At 40.9% G+C, this 22,173-nt stretch overlaps 1 annotated feature.

The window, feature by feature from the left end:
* Positions 1-22,173: part of a centromere (Linear centromere model derived predominantly from reads generated in PMID: 17803354. This region does not represent an actual centromere sequence, as long-range ordering of repeats and unmapped WGS contigs is not provided by the model. For details of model production, see http://arxiv.org/abs/1307.0035.) that runs on past both edges of the window.

The following is a 22,173-nucleotide window of genomic DNA, read 5'->3' on the forward strand; positions in this document are numbered from 1 at the left end:
TCTTCCCGTAAAAGCTAGATAGAAGCATTGTCAGAAACTTCTTTGTGATGATTGCATTCAACTCACAGAGTTGAAGGTTCCTTTTCAAACAGCAGTTTCCAATCACTCTTTCTGTGGAATCTGCAAGTGGATATTTGGGCCTCTCTGAGGATTTCGTTGGAAACGGGATAAAACGCACAGAACTAAAACAGAAGCATTCTCAGAAACTTCTCTGTGATGTTTGTGTTCAACTCCCGGAGTTTCACATTGCTTCTCATAGAGTAGTTCTGAAACATGCTTTTCGTAGTGTCTGCAAGTGGACATTTGGAGCGCTTTCAGGCCTGTGGTGGAAAACGAATTATGGTCACATAAAAACTGGAGAGAAGCCTTCTCAGAAACTTCTCTGTGATGATTGCATTCAACTCACAGAGTTGAACCCTCCTATGGATAGAGCAGTGTTGAAACTCTCTTTTTGTGGAATCTGCAAGCGGATATGTGGACCTCTCCGAAGATGTCTTTGGCAACGGGAATATCTTCACATAAAAACTAAACAGAAGCATTCTCAGAAACTTCTTGGTGATGTTTGCATTCAAATCCCAGAGTTGAACCTTCCTTTCATAGTTCAGGTTTGCAACACTCTTTTTGTAGGATCTGCAAGTGGATATTTGGACCACTCTGTGGCCTTCGTTCGAAACGGGTACATCTTCGCATAAAATCTAGACAGAAGCATTCTCAGAAAATACTTTGTGATGATTGAGTTTAAATCACAGAGCTGACCATTCCTTTGGATGGAGCAGGTTTGAGACACACTTTTTGTAGAATCTACAAGTGGATATTTGGACCTCTCTGAGGATTTCGTTGGAAACGGGATAACTGCACCTAACTAAACGGAAGCATTCTCAGAAACTGCTTTGTGATGATTGCATTCACCTCACAGAGTTGAACATTCCTATTGATAGAGCAGTTTGGAAACACTCTTGTTGTGGAATGTGCAAGTGGAGATTTGGAGCGCTTTGAGGCCTATGGTAGTAAAGGGAATAGCTTCATAGAAAAACTAGACAGATGCATTCTCAGGAACTTTTTGGTGATGTTTGTATTCAACTCCCAGAGTTGAACTTTCCTTTGGAAAGAGCAGCTATGAAACACTCTTTTTCTAGAATCTGCAAGTGGACGTTTGGAGGGCTTTGTGGTTTGTGGTGGAAAAGGAAATATCTTCACCTAAATACTAGATAGAAGCATCCTCAGAAGCTTCTCTGTGATGACTGCATTCAACTCACGGAGTTGAACACTCCTTTTGAGAGCGCAGTTTTGAAACTCTCTTTCTGTGGCATCTGCAAGGGGACATGTAGACCTCTTTGAAGATTTCGTTGGAAACGGAATCATCTTCACATAAAAACTATACAGAAGCAGTCTCAGAATCTTCTTTGTGATGTTTGCATTCAAATCCCCGAGTTGAACTTTCCTTTCAAAGTTCACGTTTGAAACACTCTTTTTGCAGGATCTACAAGTGGATATTTGGACCACTCTGTGTCCTTCGTTCGAAACGGGTATATCTTCACATGACATCTAGACAGAAGCTTTCTCAGAAAATTCTTTGGGATGATTGAGTTGAACTCACAGAGGTGAGCATTCCTTGCGATGTAGCAGTTTAGAAACACACTTTCTGCAGAATCTGCAAGTGCATATTTGGACCTCTGTGAGGAATTCGTTGGAAACGGGATAATTTCAGCTGACTAAACAGAAGCATTCTCAGAACCTTCTTCGTGATGTCTGCATTCAACTCACAGTGTGGAACCTTTCTTTGATAGTTCAGGTTTGAAACACTCTTTTTGTAGAAACTGCAAGGGGATAATTGCACTTCTTTGAGGCCTACCGTAGTAAAGGAAATAACTTCCTATAGAAAGAAGACAGAAGCATTCTCAGAACCCTCTTCGTGATGTTTGCATTCAACTCACAGTGCTGAACCTTTCTTTGATAGTTCAGCTTTGAAACACTCTTCTTGTAGAAACTGCAAGTGGATATTTGGTCCTCTCTGAGGATTTCGTTGGAAACGGGATAAACCGCACAGAACTAAACAGAAGCATTCTCAGAACCTTCTTCGTGATGTTTGCATTCAACTCACAGTGTTGAACCTTTCTTTGATAGTTCAGGTTTGAAACGGTCTTTCTGTAGAAACTGCAAGTAGATATTTGGACCTCTCTGAGGATTTCGTTGGAAACGGGATAACCCGCACAGAACTAAAACAGAAGCATTCACAGAAAACTCTTGGTGACGACTGAGTTTAACTCACAGAGCTGAACATTCCTTTGGATGGAGCAGTTTCGAAACACACTATTTGTAGAATGTGCAAGTGGATATTTGGGCCTCTCTGAGGATTTCGTTGGAAACGGGATAAACCGCACAGAACTAAACAGAAGCATTCTCAGAAACTACTTTGTGATGATTGCATTCAAGTCACAGACTTGAACATTCCCTTTGACAGAGCAGTTTGGAAACTCTCTTTGTGTAGAATCTGCAAGTGGAGATATGGACCGCTTTGAGGCCTATGGTAGTAAAGGAAATAGCTTCATATAAAAGCTAGACAGTAGCATTCTCAGAAACTTCTTTGTGATGCTTGCATTCAACTCACAGAGTTGAACTTTCCTTTCGAGAGAGAAGCTTTGAAAAACTCTTTTCCAGAATCTGCAAGTGGACATTTGGAGGGCATTGAGGCCTGTGGTGGAAAAGGAATTATCTTCCCGTAAAAGCTAGACAGAAGCATTGTCAGAAACTTCTTTGTGATGATTGCATTCAACTCACAGAGTTGAAGGTTCCTTTTCAAACAGCAGTTTCCAATCACTCTTTCTGTGGAATCTGCAAGTGGATATTTGGGCCTCTCTGAGGATTTCGTTGGAAACGGGATAAAACGCACAGAACTAAAACAGAAGCATTCTCAGAAACTTCTCTGTGATATTTGTGTTCAACTCCCAGAGTTTCACATTGCTTCTCATAGAGTAGTTCTGAAACATGCTTTTCATAGTGTCTGCAAGTGGACATTTGGAGCGCTTTCAGGCCTGTGGTGGAAAACGAATTATGGTCACATAAAAACTGGAGAGAAGCCTTCTCAGAAACTTCTCTGTGATGATTGCATTCAACTCACAGAGTTGAACCCTCCTATGGATAGAGCAGTGTTGAAACTCTCTTTTTGTGGAATCTGCAAGTGGATATGTGGACCTCTCCGAAGATGTCTTTGGAAACGGGAATATCTTCACATAAAAACTAAACAGAAGCATTCTCAGAAACTTCTTGGTGATGTTTGCATTCAAATCCCAGAGTTGAACCTTCCTTTGATAGTTCAGGTTTGAAACACTCTTTTTGTAGGATCTGCAAGTGGCTATTTGGACCACTCTGTGGCCTTCGTTCGAAACGGGTATATCTTCGCATAAAATCTAGACAGAAGCATTCTCAGAAAATACTTTGTGATGATTGAGTTTAACTCACAGAGCTGAACATTCCTTTGGATGGAGCAGGTTTGAGACACACTTTTTGTAGAATCTACAAGTGGATATTTGGACCTCTCTGAGGATTTCGTTGGAAACGCGATAACTGCACCTAACTAAACGGAAGCATTCTCAGAAACTGCTTTGTGATGATTGCATTCACCTCACAGAGTTGAACATTCCTATTGATAGAGCAGTTTGGAAACACTCTTGTTGTGGAATGTGCAAGTGGAGATTTGGAGCGCTTTGAGGCCTATGGTAGTAAAGGGAATAGCTTCATAGAAAAACTAGACAGATGCATTCTCAGGAACCTTTTGGTGATGTTTGTATTCAACTCCCAGAGTTGAACTTTCCTTTGGAAAGAGCAGCTATGAAACACTCTTTTTCTAGAATCTGCAAGTGGACGTTTGGAGGGCTTTGTGGTTTGTGGTGGAAAAGGAAATATCTTCACCTAAATACTAGATAGAAGCATTCTCAGAAGCTTCTCTGTGATGACTGCATTCAACTCACGGAGTTGAACACTCCTTTTGAGAGCGCAGTTTTGAAACTCTCTTTCTGTGGCATCTGCAAGGGGACATGTAGACCTCTTTGAAGATTTCGTTGGAAACGGAATCATCTTCACATAAAAACTATACAGAAGCAGTCTCAGAATCTTCTTTGTGATGTTTGCATTCAAATCCCAGAGTTGAACTTTCCTTTCAAAGTTCACGTTTGAAACACTCTTTTTGCAGGATCTACAAGTGGATATTTGGACCACTCTGTGTCCTTCGTTCGAAACGGGTATATCTTCACATGACATCTAGACAGAAGCTTTCTCAGAAAATTCTTTGGCATGATTGAGTTGAACTCACAGAGCTGAACATTCCTTGCGATGGAGCAGTTTAGAAACACACTTTCTGCAGAATCTGCAAGTGCATATTTGGACCTCTCTGAGGAATTCGTTGGAAACGCGATAATTTCAGCTGACTAAACAGAAGCATTCTCAGAACCTTCTTCGTGATGTCTGTATTCAACTCACAGTGTGGAACCTTTCTTTGATAGTTCAGGTTTGAAACACTCCTTTCGTAGAAACTGCAAGGGGATAATTGCACTTCTTTGAGGCCTACTGTAGTAAAGGAAATAACTTCCTATAAAAAGAAGACAGAAGAATTCTCAGAACCCTCTTCGTGATGTTTGCATTCCACACACAGTGCTGAAACTTTCTTTGATAGTTCAGCTTTGAAACACTCTTTTTGTAGAAACTGCAAGTGGATATTTGGTCCTCTCTGAGGATTTCGTTGGAAACGTGATAAACCGCACAGAACTAAACAGAAGCATTCACAGAAAACTCTTGGTGACGACTGAGTTTAACTCACAGAGCTGAACATTCCTTTGGATGGAGCAGTTTCGAAACACACTCTTTGTAGAATCTGCAAGTGGATATTTGGGCCTCTCTGAGGATTTCGTTGGAAATGGGATAAACCGCACAGAACTAAAACAGAAGCATTCTCAGAAACTACTTTGTGATGATTGCATTCAAGTCACAGAGTTGAACATTCCCTTTGACAGAGCAGTTTGGAAACTCTCTTTGTGTAGAATCTGCAAGTGGAGATATGGACCGCTTTGAGGACTATGGTAGTAAAGGAAATAGCTTCATATAAAAGCTAAACAGTAGCATTCTCAGAAACTTCTTTGTGATGCTTGCATTCAACTCACAGAGTTGAACTTTCCTTTCGAGAGAGAAGCTTTGAAACACTCTTTTTCCAGAATCTGCAAGTGGACATTTGGAGGGCTTTGAGGCCTGTGGTGGAAAAGGAATTATCTTCCCGTAAAAGCTAGATAGAAGCATTGTCAGAAACTTCTTTGTGATGATTGCATTCAACTCACAGAGTTGAAGGTTCCTTTTCAAACAGCAGTTTCCAATCACTCTTTCTGTGGAATCTGCAAGTGGATATTTGGGCCTCTCTGAGGATTTCGTTGGAAACGGGATAAAACGCACAGAACTAAAACAGAAGCATTCTCAGAAACTTCTCTGTGATGTTTGTGTTCAACTCCCAGAGTTTCACTTTGCTTTTCATAGAGTAGTTCTGAAACATGCTTTTCGTAGTGTCTGCAAGTGGACATTTGGAGCGCTTTCAGGCCTGTGGTGGAAAACGAATTATGGTCACATAAAAACTGGAGAGAAGCCTTCTCGGAAACTTCTCTGCGATGATTGCATTCAACTCACAGAGTTGAACCCTCCTATGGATAGAGCAGTGTTGAAACTCTCTTTTTGTGGAATCTGCAAGTGGATATGTGGACCTCTCCGAAGATGTCTTTGGAAACGGGAATATCTTCACATAGAAACTAAACAGAAGCATTCTCAGAAACTTCTTGGTGATGTTTGCATTCAAATCCCAGAGTTGAACCTTCCTTTGATAGTTCAGGTTTGAAACACTCTTTTTGTAGGATCTGCAAGTGGATATTTGGACCACTCTGTGGCCTTCGTTCGAAACGGGTACATCTTCGCATAAAATCTAGACAGAAGCATTCTCAGAAAATACTTTGTGATGATTGAGTTTAACTCACAGAGCTGAACATTCCTTTGGATGGAGCAGGTTTGAGACACACTTTTTGTAGAATCTACAAGTGGATATTTGGACCTCTCTGAGGATTTCGTTGGAAACGGGATAACTGCACCTAACTAAACGGAAGCATTCTCAGAAACTGCTTTGTGATGATTGCATTCACCTCACAGAGTTGAACATTCCTATTGATAGAGCAGTTTGGAAACACTCTTGTTGTGGAATGTGCAAGTGGAGATTTGGAGCGCTTTGAGGCCTATGGTAGTAAAGGGAATAGCTTCATAGAAAAACTAGACAGATGCATTCTCAGGAACCTTTTGGTGATGTTTGTATTCAACTCCCAGAGTTGAACTTTCCTTTGGAAAGAGCAGCTATGAAACACTCTTTTTCTAGAATCTGCAAGTGGACGTTTGGAGGGCTTTGTGGTTTGTGGTGGAAAAGGAAATATCTTCACCTAAATACTAGATAGAAGCATTCTCAGAAGCTTCTCTGTGATGACTGCATTCAACTCACGGAGTTGAACACTCCTTTTGAGAGCGCAGTTTTGAAACTCTCTTTCTGTGGCATCTGCAAGGGGACATGTAGACCTCTTTGAAGATTTCGTTGGAAACGGAATCATCTTCACATAAAAACTATACAGAAGCAGTCTCAGAATCTTCTTTGTGATGTTTGCATTCAAATCCCAGAGTTGAACTTTCCTTTCAAAGTTCACGTTTGAAACACTCTTTTTGCAGGATCTACAAGTGGATATTTGGACCACTCTGTGTCCTTCGTTCGAAACGGGTATATCTTCACACGACATCTAGACAGAAGCTTTCTCAGAAAATTCTTTGGGATGATTGAGTGGAACTCACAGAGCTGAACATTCCTTGCGATGTAGCAGTTTAGAAACACACTTTCTGCAGAATCTGCAAGTGCATATTTGGACCTCTCTGAGGAATTCGTTGGAAACGGGATAATTTCAGCTGACTAAACAGAAGCATTCTCAGAACCTTCTTCGTGATGTCTGCATTCAACTCACAGTGTGGAACCTTTCTTTGATAGTTCAGGTTTGAAACACTCTTTTTGTAGAAACTGCAAGGGGATAATTGCACTTCTTTGAGGCCTACCGTAGTAAAGGAAATAACTTCCTATAGAAAGAAGACAGAAGAATTCTCAGAACCCTCTTCGTGATGTTTGCATTCAACTCACAGTGCTGAACCTTTCTTTGATAGTGCAGCTTTGAAACACTCTTTTTGTAGAAACTGCAAGTGGATATTTGGTCCTCTCTGAAGATTTCGTTGGAAACGGGATAAACCGCACAGAACTAAAACAGAAGCATTCTCTGAACCTTCTTCGTGATGTTTGCATTCAACTCACAGTGTTGAACCTTTCTTTGATAGTTCAGGTTGGAAACGGTCTTTCTGTAGAAACTGCAAGTAGATATTTGGACCTCTCTGAGGATTTCGTTGGAAACGGGATAAACCGCACAGAACTAAAACAGAAGCATTCACAGAAAACTCTTGGTGACGACTGAGTTTAACTCACAGAGCTGAACATTCCTTTGGATGGAGCAGTTTCGAAACACACTATTTGTAGAATGTGCAAGTGGATATGTGGGCCTCTCTGAGGATTTCGTTGGAAACGGGATAAACCGCACAGAACTAAACAGAAGCATTCTCAGAAACTACTTTGTGATGATTGCATTCAAGTCACAGAGTTGAACATTCCCTTTGACAGAGCAGTTTGGAAACTCTCTTTGTGTAGAATCTGCAAGTGGAGATATGGACCGCTTTGAGGCCTATGGTAGTAAAGGAAATAGCTTCATATAAAAGCTAGACAGTAGCATTCTCAGAAACTTCTTTGTGATGCTTGCATTCAACTCACAGAGTTGAACTTTCCTTTCGAGAGAGAAGCTTTGAAACACTCTTTTTCCAGAATGTGCAAGTGGACATTTGGGGAGCTTTGAGGCCTGTGGTGGAAAAGGAATTATCTTCCCGTAAAAGCTAGATAGAAGCATTGTCAGAAACTTCTTTGTGATGATTGCATTCAACTCACAGAGTTGAAGGTTCCTTTTCAAACAGCAGTTTCCAATCACTCTTTCTGTGGAATCTGCAAGTGGATATTTGGGCCTCTCTGAGGATTTCGTTGGAAACGGGATAAAACGCACAGAACTAAAACAGAAGCATTCTCAGAAACTTCTCTGTGATGTTTGTGTTCAACTCCCAGAGTTTCACATTGCTTTTCATAGAGTAGTTCTGAAACATGCTTTTCGTAGTGTCTACAAGTGGACATTTGGAGCGCTTTCAGGCCTGTGGTGGAAAACGAATTATGGTCACATAAAAACTGGAGAGAAGCCTTCTCAGAAACTTCTCTGTGATGATTGCATTCAACTCACAGAGTTGAACCCTCCTATGGATAGAGCAGTGTTGAAACTCTCTTTTTGTGGAATCTGCAAGTGGATATGTGGACCTCTCCGAAGATGTCTTTGGAAACGGGAATATCTTCACATAAAAACTAAACAGAAGCATTCTCAGAAACTTCTTGGTGATGTTTGCATTCAAATCCCAGAGTTGAACCTTCCTTTGATAGTTCAGGTTTGAAACACTCTTTCTGTAGGATCTGCAAGTGGCTATTTGGACCACTCTGTGGCCTTCGTTCGAAACGGGTATATCTTCGCATAAAATCTAGACAGAAGCATTCTCAGAAAATACTTTGTGATGATTGAGTTTAAATCACAGAGCTGAACATTCCTTTGGATGGAGCAGGTTTGAGACACACTTTTTGTAGAATCTACAAGTGGATATTTGGACCTCTCTGAGGATTTCGTTGGAAACGGGATAACTGCACCTAACTAAACGGAAGCATTCTCAGAAACTGCTTTGTGATGATTGCATTCACCTCACAGAGTTGAACATTCCTATTGATAGAAGCAGTTTGGAAACACTCTTGTTGTGGAATGTGCAAGTGGAGATTTGGAGCGCTTTGAGGCCTATGGTAGTAAAGGGAATAGCTTCATAGAAAAACTAGATAGATGCATTCTCAGGAACTTTTTGGTGATGTTTGTATTCAACTCCCAGAGTTGAACTTTCCTTTGGAAAGAGCAGCTATGAAACACTCTTTTTCTAGAATCTGCAAGTGGACGTTTGGAGGGCTTTGTGGTTTGTGGTGGAAAAGGAAATATCTTCACCTAAATACTAGATAGAAGCATTCTCAGAAGCTTCTCTGTGATGACTGCATTCAACTCACGGAGTTGAACACTCCTTTTGAGAGCGCAGTTTTGAAACTCTCTTTCTGTGGCATCCGCAAGGGGACATGTAGACCTCTTTGAAGATTTCGTTGGAAACGGAATCATCTTCACATAAAAACTATACAGAAGCAGTCTCAGAATCTTCTTTGTGATGTTTGCATTCAAATCCCAGAGTTGAACTTTCCTTTCAAAGTTCACGTTTGAAACACTCTTTTTGCAGGATCTACAAGTGGATATTTGGACCACTCTGTGTCCTTCGTTCGAAACGGGTATATCTTCACATGACATCTAGACAGAAGCTTTCTCAGAAAATTCTTTGGGATGATTGAGTGGAACTCACAGAGCTGAACATTCCTTGCGATGTAGCAGTTTAGAAACACACTTTCTGCAGAATCTGCAAGTGCATATTTGGACCTCTCTGAGGAATTCGTTGGAAACGGGATAATTTCAGCTGACTAAACAGAAGCATTCTCAGAACCTTCTTCGTGATGTCTGCATTCAACTCACAGTGTGGAACCTTTCTTTGATAGTTCAGATTTGAAACACTCTTTTTGTAGAAACTGCAAGGGGATAATTGCACTTCTTTTAGGCCTACCGTAGTAAAGGAAATAACTTCCTATAAAAAGAAGACAGAAGAATTCTCAGAGCCCTCTTCGTGATGTTTGCATTCAACTCACAGTGCTGAACCTTTCTTTGATAGTGCAGCTTTGAAACACTCTTTTTGTAGAAACTGCAAGTGGATGTTTGGTCCTCTCTGAGGATTTCGTTGGAAACGGGATAAACCGCACAGAACTAAAACAGAAGCATTCTCAGAACCTTCTTCGTGATGTTTGCATTCAACTCACAGTGTTGAACCTTTCTTTGATAGTTCAGGTTTGAAACGGTCTTTCTGTAGAAACTGCAAGTAGATATTTGGACCTCTCTGAGGATTTCGTTGGAAACGGGATAACCCGCACAGAACTAAAACAGAAGCATTCACAGAAAACTCTTGGTGACGACTGAGTTTAACTCACAGAGCTGAACATTCCTTTGGATGGAGCAGTTTCGAAACACACTATTTGTAGAATGTGCAAGTGGATATTTGGGCCTCTCTGAGGATTTCGTTGGAAACGGGATAAACCGCACAGAACTAAAACAGAAGCATTCTCAGAAACTACTTTGTGATGATTGCATTCAAGTCACAGAGTTGAACATTCCCTTTGACAGAGCAGTTTGGAAACTCTCTTTGTGTAGAATCTGCAAGTGGAGATATGGACCGCTTTGAGGCCTATGGTAGTAAAGGAAATAGCTTCATATAAAAGCTAGACAGTAGCATTCTCAGAAACTTCTTTGTGATGCTTGCATTCAACTCACAGAGTTGAACTTTCCTTTCGAGAGAGAAGCTTTGAAACACTCTTTTTCCAGAATCTGCAAGTGGACATTTGGAGGGCTTTGAGGCCTGTGGTGGAAAAGGAATTATCTTCCCGTAAAAGCTAGATAGAAGCATTGTCAGAAACTTCTTTGTGATGATTGCATTCAACTCACAGAGTTGAAGGTTCCTTTTCAAACAGCAGTTTCCAATCACTCTTTCTGTGGAATCTGCAAGTGGATATTTGGGCCTCTCTGAGGATTTCGTTGGAAACGGGATAAAACGCACAGAACTAAAACAGAAGCATTCTCAGAAACTTCTCTGTGATGTTTGTGTTCAACTCCCAGAGTTTCACATTGCTTCTCATAGAGTAGTTCTGAAACATGCTTTTCGTAGTGTCTGCAAGTGGACATTTGGAGCGCTTTCAGGCCTGTGGTGGAAAACGAATTATGGTCACATAAAAACTGGAGAGAAGCCTTCTCAGAAACTTCTCTGTGATGATTGCATTCAACTCACAGAGTTGAAACCTCCTATGGATAGAGCAGTGTTGAAACTCTCTTTTTGTGGAATCTGCAAGTGGATATGTGGACCTCTCCGAAGATGTCTTTGGAAACGGGAATATCTTCACATAAAAACTAAACAGAAGCATTCTCAGAAACTTCTTGGTGATGTTTGCATTCAAATCCCAGAGTTGAACCTTCCTTTGATAGTTCAGGTTTGAAACACTCTTTTTGTAGGATCTGCAAGTGGATATTTGGACCACTCTGTGGCCTTCGTTCGAAACGGGTATATCTTCGCATAAAATCTAGACAGAAGCATTCTCAGAAAATACTTTGTGATGATTGAGTTTAAATCACAGAGCTGACCATTCCTTTGGATGGAGCAGGTTTGAGACACACTTTTTGTAGAATCTACAAGTGGATATTTGGACCTCTCTGAGGATTTCGTTGGAAACGGGATAACTGCACCTAACTAAACGGAAGCATTCTCAGAAACTGCTTTGTGATGATTGCATTCACCTCACAGAGTTGAACATTCCTATTGATAGAGCAGTTTGGAAACACTCTTGTTGTGGAATGTGCAAGTGGAGATTTGGAGTGCTTTGAGGCCTATGGTAGTAAAGGGAATAGCTTCATAGAAAAACTAGACAGATGCATTCTCAGGAACTTTTTGGTGATGTTTGTATTCAACTCCCAGAGTTGAACTTTCCTTTGGAAAGAGCAGCTATGAAACACTCTTTTTCTAGAATCTGCAAGTGGACGTTTGGAGGGCTTTGTGGTTTGTGGTGGAAAAGGAAATATCTTCACCTAAATACTAGATAGAAGCATTCTCAGAAGCTTCTCTGTGATGACTGCATTCAACTCACGGAGTTGAACACTCCTTTTGAGAGCGCAGTTTTGAAACTCTCTTTCTGTGGCATCTGCAAGGGGACATGTAGACCTCTTTGAAGATTTCGTTGGAAACGGAATCATCTTCACATAAAAACTATACAGAAGCAGTCTCAGAATCTTCTTTGTGATGTTTGCATTCAAATCCCAGAGTTGAACTTTCCTTTCAAAGTTCACGTTTGAAACACTCTTTTTGCAGGATCTACAAGTGGATATTTGGACCACTCTGTGTCCTTCGTTCGAAACGGGTATATCTTCACACGACATCTAGACAGAAGCTTTCTCAGAAAATTCTTTGGGATGATTGAGTTGAACTCACAGAGCTGAGCATTCCTTGCGATGTAGCAGTTTAGAAACACACTTTCTGCAGAATCTGCAAGTGCATATTTGGACCTCTGTGAGGAATTCGTTGGAAACGGGATAATTTCAGCTGACTAAACAGAAGCATTCTCAGAACCTTCTTCGTGATGTCTGCATTCAACTCACAGTGTGGAACCTTTCTTTGATAGTTCAGGTTTGAAACACTCTTTTTGTAGAAACTGCAAGGGGATAATTGCACTTCTTTGAGGCCTACCGTAGTAAAGGAAATAACTTCCTATAGAAAGAAGACAGAAGAATTCTCAGAGCCCTCTTCGTGATGTTTGCATTCAACTCACAGTGCTGAACCTTTCTTTGATAGTGCAGCTTTGAAACACTCTTTTTGTAGAAACTGCAAGTGGATGTTTGGTCCTCTCTGAGGATTTCGTTGGAAACGGGATAAACCGCACAGAACTAAAACAGAAGCATTCTCAGAACCTTCTTCGTGATGTTTGCATTCAACTCACAGTGTTGAACCTTTCTTTGATAGTTCAGGTTTGAAACGGTCTTTCTGTAGAAACTGCAAGTAGATATTTGGACCTCTCTGAGGATTTCGTTGGAAACGGGATAACCCGCACAGAACTAAAACAGAAGCATTCACAGAAAACACTTGGTGACGACTGAGTTTAACTCACAGAGCTGAACATTCCTTTGGATGGAGCAGTTTCGAAACACACTATTTGTAGAATGTGCAAGTGGATATGTGGGCCTCTCTGAGGATTTCGTTGGAAACGGGATAAACCGCACAGAACTAAACAGAAGCATTCTCAGAAACTACTTTGTGATGATTGCATTCAAGTCACAGAGTTGAACATTCCCTTTGACAGAGCAGTTTGGAAACTCTCTTTGTGTAGAATCTGCAAGTGGAGATATGGACCGCTTTGAGGCCTATGGTAGTAAAGGAAATAGCTTCATATAAAAGCTAGACAGTAGCATTCTCAGAAACTTCTTTGTGATGCTTGCATTCAACTCACAGAGTTGAACTTTCCTTTCGAGAGAGAAGCTTTGAAACACTCTTTTTCCAGAATCTGCAAGTGGACATTTGGAGGGCTTTGAGGCCTGTGGTGGAAAAGGAATTATCTTCCCGTAAAAGCTAGATAGAAGCATTGTCAGAAACTTCTTTGTGATGATTGCATTCAACTCACAGAGTTGAAGGTTCCTTTTCAAACAGCAGTTTCCAATCACTCTTTCTGTGGAATCTGCAAGTGGATATTTGGGCCTCTCTGAGGATTTCGTTGGAAACGGGATAAAACGCACAGAACTAAAACAGAAGCATTCTCAGAAACTTCTCTGTGATGTTTGTGTTCAACTCCCAGAGTTTCACATTGCTATTCATAGAGTAGTTCTGAAACATGCTTTTCGTAGTGTCTGCAAGTGGACATTTGGAGCGCTTTCAGGCCTGTGGTGGAAAACGAATTATGGTCACATAAAAACTGGAGAGAAGCCTTCTCAGAAACTTCTCTGTGATGATTGCATTCAACTCACAGAGTTGAACCCTCCTATGGATAGAGCAGTGTTGAAACTCTCTTTTTGTGGAATCTGCAAGTGGATATGTGGACCTCTCCGAAGATGTCTTTGGAAACGGGAATATCTTCACATAAAAACTAAACAGAAGCATTCTCAGAAACTTCTTGGTGATGTTGGCATTCAAACCCCAGAGTTGAACCTTCCTTTGATAGTTCAGGTTTGAAACACTCTTTTTGTAGGATCTGCAAGTGGATATTTGGACCACTCTGTGGCCTTCGTTCGAAACGGGTACATCTTCGCATAAAATCTAGACAGAAGCATTCTCAGAAAATACTTTGTGATGATTGCGTTGAACTCACAGAGCTGAACATTCCTTTGGATGGAGCAGGTTTGAGACACACTTTTTGTAGAATCTACAAGTGGATATTTGGACCTCTCTGAGGATTTCGTTGGAAACCGGATAACTGCACCTAACTAAACGGAAGCATTCTCAGAAACTGCTTTGTGATGATTGCATTCACCTCACAGAGTTGACCATTCCTATTGATAGAGCAGTTTGGAAACACTATTGTTGTGGAATGTGCAAGTGGAGATTTGGAGCGCTTTGAGGCCTATGGTAGTAAAGGGAATAGCTTCATAGAAAAACTAGACAGATGCATTCTCAGGAACTTTTTGGTGATGTTTGTATTCAACTCCCAGAGTTGAACTTTCCTTTGGAAAGAGCAGCTATGAAACACTCTTTTTCTAGAATCTGCAAGTGGACGTTTGGAGGGCTTTGTGGTTTGTGGTGGAAAAGGAAATATCTTCACCTAAATACTAGATAGAAGCATCCTCAGAAGCTTCTCTGTGATGACTGCATTCAACTCACGGAGTTGAACACTCCTTTTGAGAGCGCAGTTTTGAAACTCTCTTTCTGTGGCATCTGCAAGGGGACATGTAGACCTCTTTGAAGATTTCGTTGGAAACGGAATCATCTTCACATAAAAACTATACAGAAGCAGTCTCAGAATCTTCTTTGTGATGTTTGCATTCAAATCCCAGAGTTGAACTTTCCTTTCAAAGTTCACGTTTGAAACACTCTTTTTGCAGGATCTACAAGTGGATATTTGGACCACTCTGTGTCCTTCGTTCGAAACGGGTATATCTTCACACGACATCTAGACAGAAGCTTTCTCAGAAAATTCTTTGGGATGATTGAGTTGAGCAAACAGAGCTGAACACTCCTTGCGATGTAGCAGTTTAGAAACACACTTTCTGCAGAATCTGCAAGTGCATATGTGGACCTCTCTGAGGAATTCGTTGGAAACGGGATAATTTCAGCTGACTAAACAGAAGCATTCTCAGAACCTTCTTCGTGATGTCTGCATTCAACTCACAGTGTGGAACCTTTCTTTGATAGTTCAGGTTTGAATCACTCTTTTTGTAGAAACTGCAAGGGGATAATTGCACTTCTTTGAAGCCTACCGTAGTAAAGGAAATAACTTCCTATAAAAAGAAGACAGAAGAATTCTCAGAGCCCTCTTCGTGATGTTTGCATTCAACTCACAGTGCTGAACCTTTCTTTGATAGTGCAGCTTTGAAACACTCTTTTTGTAGAAACTGCAAGTGGATGTTTGGTCCTCTCTGAGGATTTCGTTGGAAACGGGATAAACCGCACAGAACTAAAACAGAAGCATTCTCAGAACCTTCTTCGTGATGTTTGCATTCAACTCACAGTGTTGAACCTTTCTTTGATAGTTCAGGTTTGAAACGGTCTTTCTGTAGAAACTGCAAGTAGATATTTGGACCTCTCTGAGGATTTCGTTGGAAACGGGATAACCCGCACAGAACTAAAACAGAAGCATTCACAGAAAACTCTTGGTGACGACTGAGTTTAACTCACAGAGCTGAACATTCCTTTGGATGGAGCAGTTTCGAAACACACTCTTTGTAGAATGTGCAAGTGGATATTTGGGCCTCTCTGAGGATTTCGTTGGAAACGGGATAAACCGCACAGAACTAAAACAGAAGCATTCTCAGAAACTACTTTGTGATGATTGCATTCAAGTCACAGAGTTGAACATTCCCTTTGACAGAGCAGTTTGGAAACTCTCTTTGTGTAGAATCTGCAAGTGGAGATATGGACCGCTTTGAGGCCTATGGTAGTAAAGGAAATAGCTTCATATAAAAGCTAGACAGTAGCATTCTCAGAAACTTCTTTGTGATGCTTGCATTCAACTCACAGAGTTGAACTTTCCTTTCGAGAGAGAAGCTTTGAAACACTCTTTTTCCGGAATCTGCAAGTGGACATTTGGAGGGCTTTGAGGCCTGTGGTGGAAAAGGAATTATCTTCCCGTAAAAGCTAGATAGAAGCATTGTCAGAAACTTCTTTGTGATGATTGCATTCAACTCACAGTAGTTGAAGGTTCCTTTTCAAACAGCAGTTTCCAATCACTCTTTCTGTGGAATCTGCAAGTGGATATTTGGGCCTCTCTGAGGATTTCGTTGGAAACGGGATAAAACGCACAGAACTAAAACAGAAGCATTCTCAGAAACTTCTCTGTGATGTTTGTGTTCAACTCCCAGAGTTTCACATTGCTTTTCATAGAGTAGTTCTGAAACATGCTTTTCGTAGTGTCTACAAGTGGACATTTGGAGCGCTTTCAGGCCTGTGGTGGAAAACGAATTATGGTCACATAAAAACTGGAGAGAAGCCTTCTCAGAAACTTCTCTGTGATGATTGCATTCAACTCACAGATTTGAACCCTCCTATGGATAGAGCATTCTTGAAACTCTCTTTTTGTGGAATCTGCAAGTGGATATGTGGACCTCTCCGAAGATGTCTTTGGAAACGGGAATATCTTCACATAAAAACTAAACAGAAGCATTCTCAGAAACTTCTTGGTGATGTTTGCATTCAAATCCCAGAGTTGAACCTTCCTGTGATAGTTCAGGTTTGAAACACTCTTTTTGTAGGATCTGCAAGTGGATATTTGGACCACTCTGTGGCCTTCGTTCGAAACGGGTACATCTTCACATAAAATCTAGACAGAAGCATTCTCAGAAAATACTTTGTGATGATTGAGTTTAAATCACAGAGCTGACCATTCCTTTGGATGGAGCAGGTTTGAGACACACTTTTTGTAGAATCTACAAGTGGATATTTGGACCTCTCTGAGGATTTCGTTGGAAACGGGATAACTGCACCTAACTAAACGGAAGCATTCTCAGAAACTGCTTTGTGATGATTGCATTCACCTCACAGAGTTGAACATTCCTATTGATAGAGCAGTTTGGAAACACTCTTGTTGTGGAATGTGCAAGTGGAGATTTGGAGCGCTTTGAGGCCTATGGTAGTAAAGGGAATAGCTTCATAGAAAAACTAGACAGATGCATTCTCAGGAACTTTTTGGTGATGTTTGTATTCAACTCCCAGAGTTGAACTTTCCTTTGGAAAGAGCAGCTATGAAACACTCTTTTTCTAGAATCTGCAAGTGGACGTTTGGAGGGCTTTGTGGTTTGTGGTGGAAAAGGAAATATCTTCACCTAAATACTAGATAGAAGCATTCTCAGAAGCTTCTCTGTGATGACTGCATTCAACTCACGGAGTTGAACACTCCTTTTGAGAGCGCAGTTTTGAAACTCACTTTCTGTGGCATCTGCAAGGGGACATGTAGACCTCTTTGAAGATTTCGTTGGAAACGGAATCATCTTCACATAAAAACTATACAGAAACAGTCTCAGAATCTTCTTTGTGATGTTTGTATTCAAATCCCAGAGTTGAACTTTCCTTTCAAAGTTCACGTTTGAAGCACTCTTTTTGCAGGATCTACAAGTGGATATTTGGACCACTCTGTGTCCTTCGTTCGAAACGGGTATATCTTCACATGACATCTAGACAGAAGCTTTCTCAGAAAATTCTTTGGGATGATTGAGTTGAACTCACAGAGCTGAACATTCCTTGCGATGTAGCAGTTTAGAAACACACTTTCTGCAGAATCTGCAAGTGCATATTTGGACCTCTCTGAGGAATTCGTTGGAAACGGGATAATTTCAGCTGACTAAACCGAAGCATTCTCAGAACCTTCTTCGTGATGTCTGCATTCAACTCACAGTGTGGAACCTTTCTTTGATAGTTCAGGTTTGAAACACTCTTTTTGTAGAAACTGCAAGGGGATAATTGCACTTCTTTGAGGCCTACCGTAGTAAAGGAAATAACTTCCTATAGAAAGAAGACAGAAGCATTCTCAGAACCCTCTCCGTGATGTTTGCATTCAACTCACGGTGCTGAACCTTTCTTGGATAGTTCAGCTTTGAAACACTCTTTTTGTAGAAACTGCAAGTGGATATTTGGTCCTCTCTGAGGATTTCTTTAGAAACGGGATAAACCGCACAGAACTAAACAGAAGCATTCTCAGAACCTTCTTCGTGATGTTTGCATTCAACTCACAGTGTTGAACCTTTCTTTGATAGTTCAGGTTTGAAACGGTCTTTCTGTAGAAACTGCAAGTAGATATTTGGACCTCTCTGAGGATTTCGTTGGAAACGGGATAACCCGCACAGAACTAAAACAGAAGCATTCACAGAAAACTCTTGGTGACGTCTGAGTTTAACTCACAGAGCTGAACATTCCTTTGGATGGAGCAGTTTCGAAACACACTATTTGTAGAATCTGCAAGTGGATATTTGGGCCTCTCTGAGGATTTCGATGGAAACGGGATAAACCGCACAGAACTAAAACAGAAGCATTCTGAGAAACTACTTTGTGATGATTGCATTCAAGTCACAGAGCTGAACATTCCCTTTGACAGAGCAGTTTGGAAACTCTCTTTGTGTAAAATCTGCAAGTGGAGATATGGAATGCTTTGAGGACTATGGTAGTAAAGGAAATAGCTTCATATAAAAGCTAGACAGTAGCATTCTCAGAAACTTCTTTGTGATGCTTGCATTCAACTCACAGAGTTGAACTTTCCTTTCGAGAGAGAAGCTTTGAAACACTCTTTTTCCAGAATCTGCAAGTGGACATTTGGAGGGCTTTGAGGCCTGTGGTGGAAAAGGAATTATCTTCCCGTAAAAGCTAGATAGAAGCATTGTCAGAAACTTCTTTGTGATGATTGCATTCAACTCACAGGAGTTGAAGGTTCCTTTTCAAACAGCAGTTTCCAATCACTCTTTCTGTGGAATCTGCAAGTGGATATTTCGACCTCTTTGAAGATTTCGTTGGAAACGGGAGAATCTTCACAGAAAAGCTAAACAGAAGCATTCTCAGAAACTTCTCTGTGATGTTTGTGTTCAACTCCCAGAGTTTCACGTTGCTTTTCATAGAGTAGTTCTGAAACATGCTTTTCGTAGTGTCTGCAAGTGGACATTTGGAGCGCTTTCAGGCCTGTGGTGGAAAACGAATTATGGTCACATAAAAACTGGAGAGAAGCCTTCTCAGAAACTTCTCTGTGATGATTGCATTCAACTCACAGAGTTGAACCCTCCTATGGATAGAGCAGTGTTGAAACTCTCTTTTTGTGGAATCTGCAAGTGGATATGTGGACCTCTCCGAAGATGTCTTTGGAAACGGGAATATCTTCACATAAAAACTAAACAGAAGCATTCTCAGAAACTTCTTGGTGATGTTTGCATTCAAATCCCACTGTTGAACCTTCCTGTGATAGTTCAGGTTTGAAACACTCTTTTTGTAGGATCTGCAAGTGGATATTTGGACCACTCTGTGGCCTTCGTTCGAAACGGGTACATCTTCACATAAAATCTAGACAGATGCATTCTCAGGAACTTTTTGGTGATGTTTGTATTCAACTCCCAGAGTTGAACTTTCCTTTGGAAAGAGCAGCTATGAAACACTCTTTTTCTAGAATCTGCAAGTGGACGTTTGGAGGGCTTTGTGGTTTGTGGTGGAAAAGGAAATATCTTCACCTAAATACTGGATAGAAGCATTCTCAGAAGCTTCTCTGTGATGACTGCATTCAACTCACGGAGTTGAACACTCCTTTTGAGAGCGCAGTTTTGAAACTCTCTTTCTGTGGCATCTGCAAGGGGACATGTAGACCTCTTTGAAGATTTCGTTGGAAACGGAATCATCTTCACATAAAAACTATACAGAAGCAGTCTCAGAATCTTCTTTGTGATGTTTGCATTCAAATCCCAGAGTTGAACTTTCCTTTCAAAGTTCACGTTTGAAACACTCTTTTTGCAGGATCTACAAGTGGATATTTGGACCACTCTGTGTCCTTCGTTCGAAACGGGTATATCTTCACAGGACATCTAGACAGAAGCTTTCTCAGAAAATTCTTTGGGATGATTGAGTTGAACTCACAGAGCTGAGCATTCCTTGCGATGTAGCAGTTTAGAAACACACTTTCTGCAGAATCTGCAAGTGCATATTTGGACCTCTGTGAGGAATTCGTTGGAAACGGGATAATTTCAGCTGACTAAACAGAAGCATTCTCAGAACCTTCTTCGTGATGTCTGCATTCAACTCACAGTGTGGAACCTTTCTTTGATAGTTCAGGTTTGAAACACTCTTTTTGTAGAAACTGCAAGGGGATAATTGCACTCTTTGAGGAGTACCGTAGTAAAGGAAATAACTTCCTATAAAAAGAAGACAGAAGAATTCTCAGAGCCCTCTTCGTGATGTTTGCATTCAACTCACAGTGCTGAACCTTTCTTTGATAGTGCAGCTTTGAAACACTCTTTTTGTAGAAACTGCAAGTGGATGTTTGGTCCTCTCTGAGGATTTCGTTGGAAACGGGATAAACCGCACAGAACTAAAACAGAAGCATTCTCAGAACCTTCTTCGTGATGTTTGCATTCAACTCACAGTGTTGAACCTTTCTTTGATAGTTCAGGTTGGAAACGGTCTTTCTGTAGAAACTGCAAGTAGATATTTGGACCTCTCTGAGGATTTCGTTGGAAACGGGATAAACCGCACAGAACTAAAACAGAAGCATTCACAGAAAACTCTTGGTGACGACTGAGTTTAACTCACAGAGCTGAACATTCCTTTGGATGGAGCAGTTTCGAAACACACTATTTGTAGAATGTGCAAGTGGATATTTGGGCCTCTCTGAGGATTTCGTTGGAAACGGGATAAACCGCACAGAACTAAACAGAAGCATTCTCAGAAACTACTTTGTGATGATTGCATTCAAGTCACAGAGTTGAACATTCCCTTTGACAGAGCAGTTTGGAAACTCTCTTTGTGTAGAATCTGCAAGTGGAGATATGGACCGCTTTGAGGCCTATGGTAGTAAAGGAAATAGCTTCATATAAAAGCTAGACAGTAGCATTCTCAGAAACTTCTTTGTGATGCTTGCATTCAACTCACAGAGTTGAACTTTCCTTTCGAGAGAGAAGCTTTGAAACACTCTTTTTCCAGAATGTGCAAGTGGACATTTGGGGAGCTTTGAGGCCTGTGGTGGAAAAGGAATTATCTTCCCGTAAAAGCTAGATAGAAGCATTGTCAGAAACTTCTTTGTGATGATTGCATTCAACTCACAGAGTTGAAGGTTCCTTTTCAAACAGCAGTTTCCAATCACTCTTTCTGTGGAATCTGCAAGTGGATATTTGGGCCTCTCTGAGGATTTCGTTGGAAACGGGATAAAACGCACAGAACTAAAACAGAAGCATTCTCAGAAACTTCTCTCTGATATTTGTGTTCAACTCCCAGAGTTTCACATTGCTTTTCATAGAGTAGTTCTGAAACATGCTTTTCGTAGTGTCTGCAAGTGGACATTTGGAGCACTTTCAGGCCTGTGGTGGAAAACGAATTATGGTCACATAAAAACTGGAGAGAAGCCTTCTCAGAAACTTCTCTGTGATGATTGCATTCAACTCACAGAGTTGAACCCTCCTATGGATAGAGCAGTGTTGAAACTCTCTTTTTGTGGAATCTGCAAGTGGATATGTGGACCTCTCCGAAGATGTCTTTGGAAACGGGACTATCTTCACATAAAAACTAAACAGAAGCACTCTCAGAAACTTCTTGGTGATGTTTGCATTCAAATCCCAGAGTTGAACCTTCCTTTGATAGTTCAGGTTTGAAACACTCTTTTTGTAGGATCTGCAAGTGGATATTTGGACCACTCTGTGGCCTTCATTCGAAACGGGTACATCTTCGCATAAAATCTAGACAGAAGCATTCTCAGAAAATACTTTGTGATGATTGACTTTAACTCACAGAGCTGAACATTCCTTTGGATGGAGCAGGCTTGAGACACACTTTTTGTAGAATCTACAAGTGGATATTTGGACCTCTCTGAGGATATCGTTGGAAACGGGATAACTGCACCTTACTAAGTGGAAGCATTCTCAGAAACTGCTTTGTGATGATTGCATTCACCTCACAGAGTTGAACATTCCTATTGATAGAGCAGTTTGGAAACACTCTTGTTGT

The sequence above is a fragment of the Homo sapiens genome, chromosome 17, assembly GCF_000001405.40.
Source record: "Homo sapiens chromosome 17, GRCh38.p14 Primary Assembly".
NCBI lineage: Eukaryota > Metazoa > Chordata > Mammalia > Primates > Hominidae > Homo > Homo sapiens.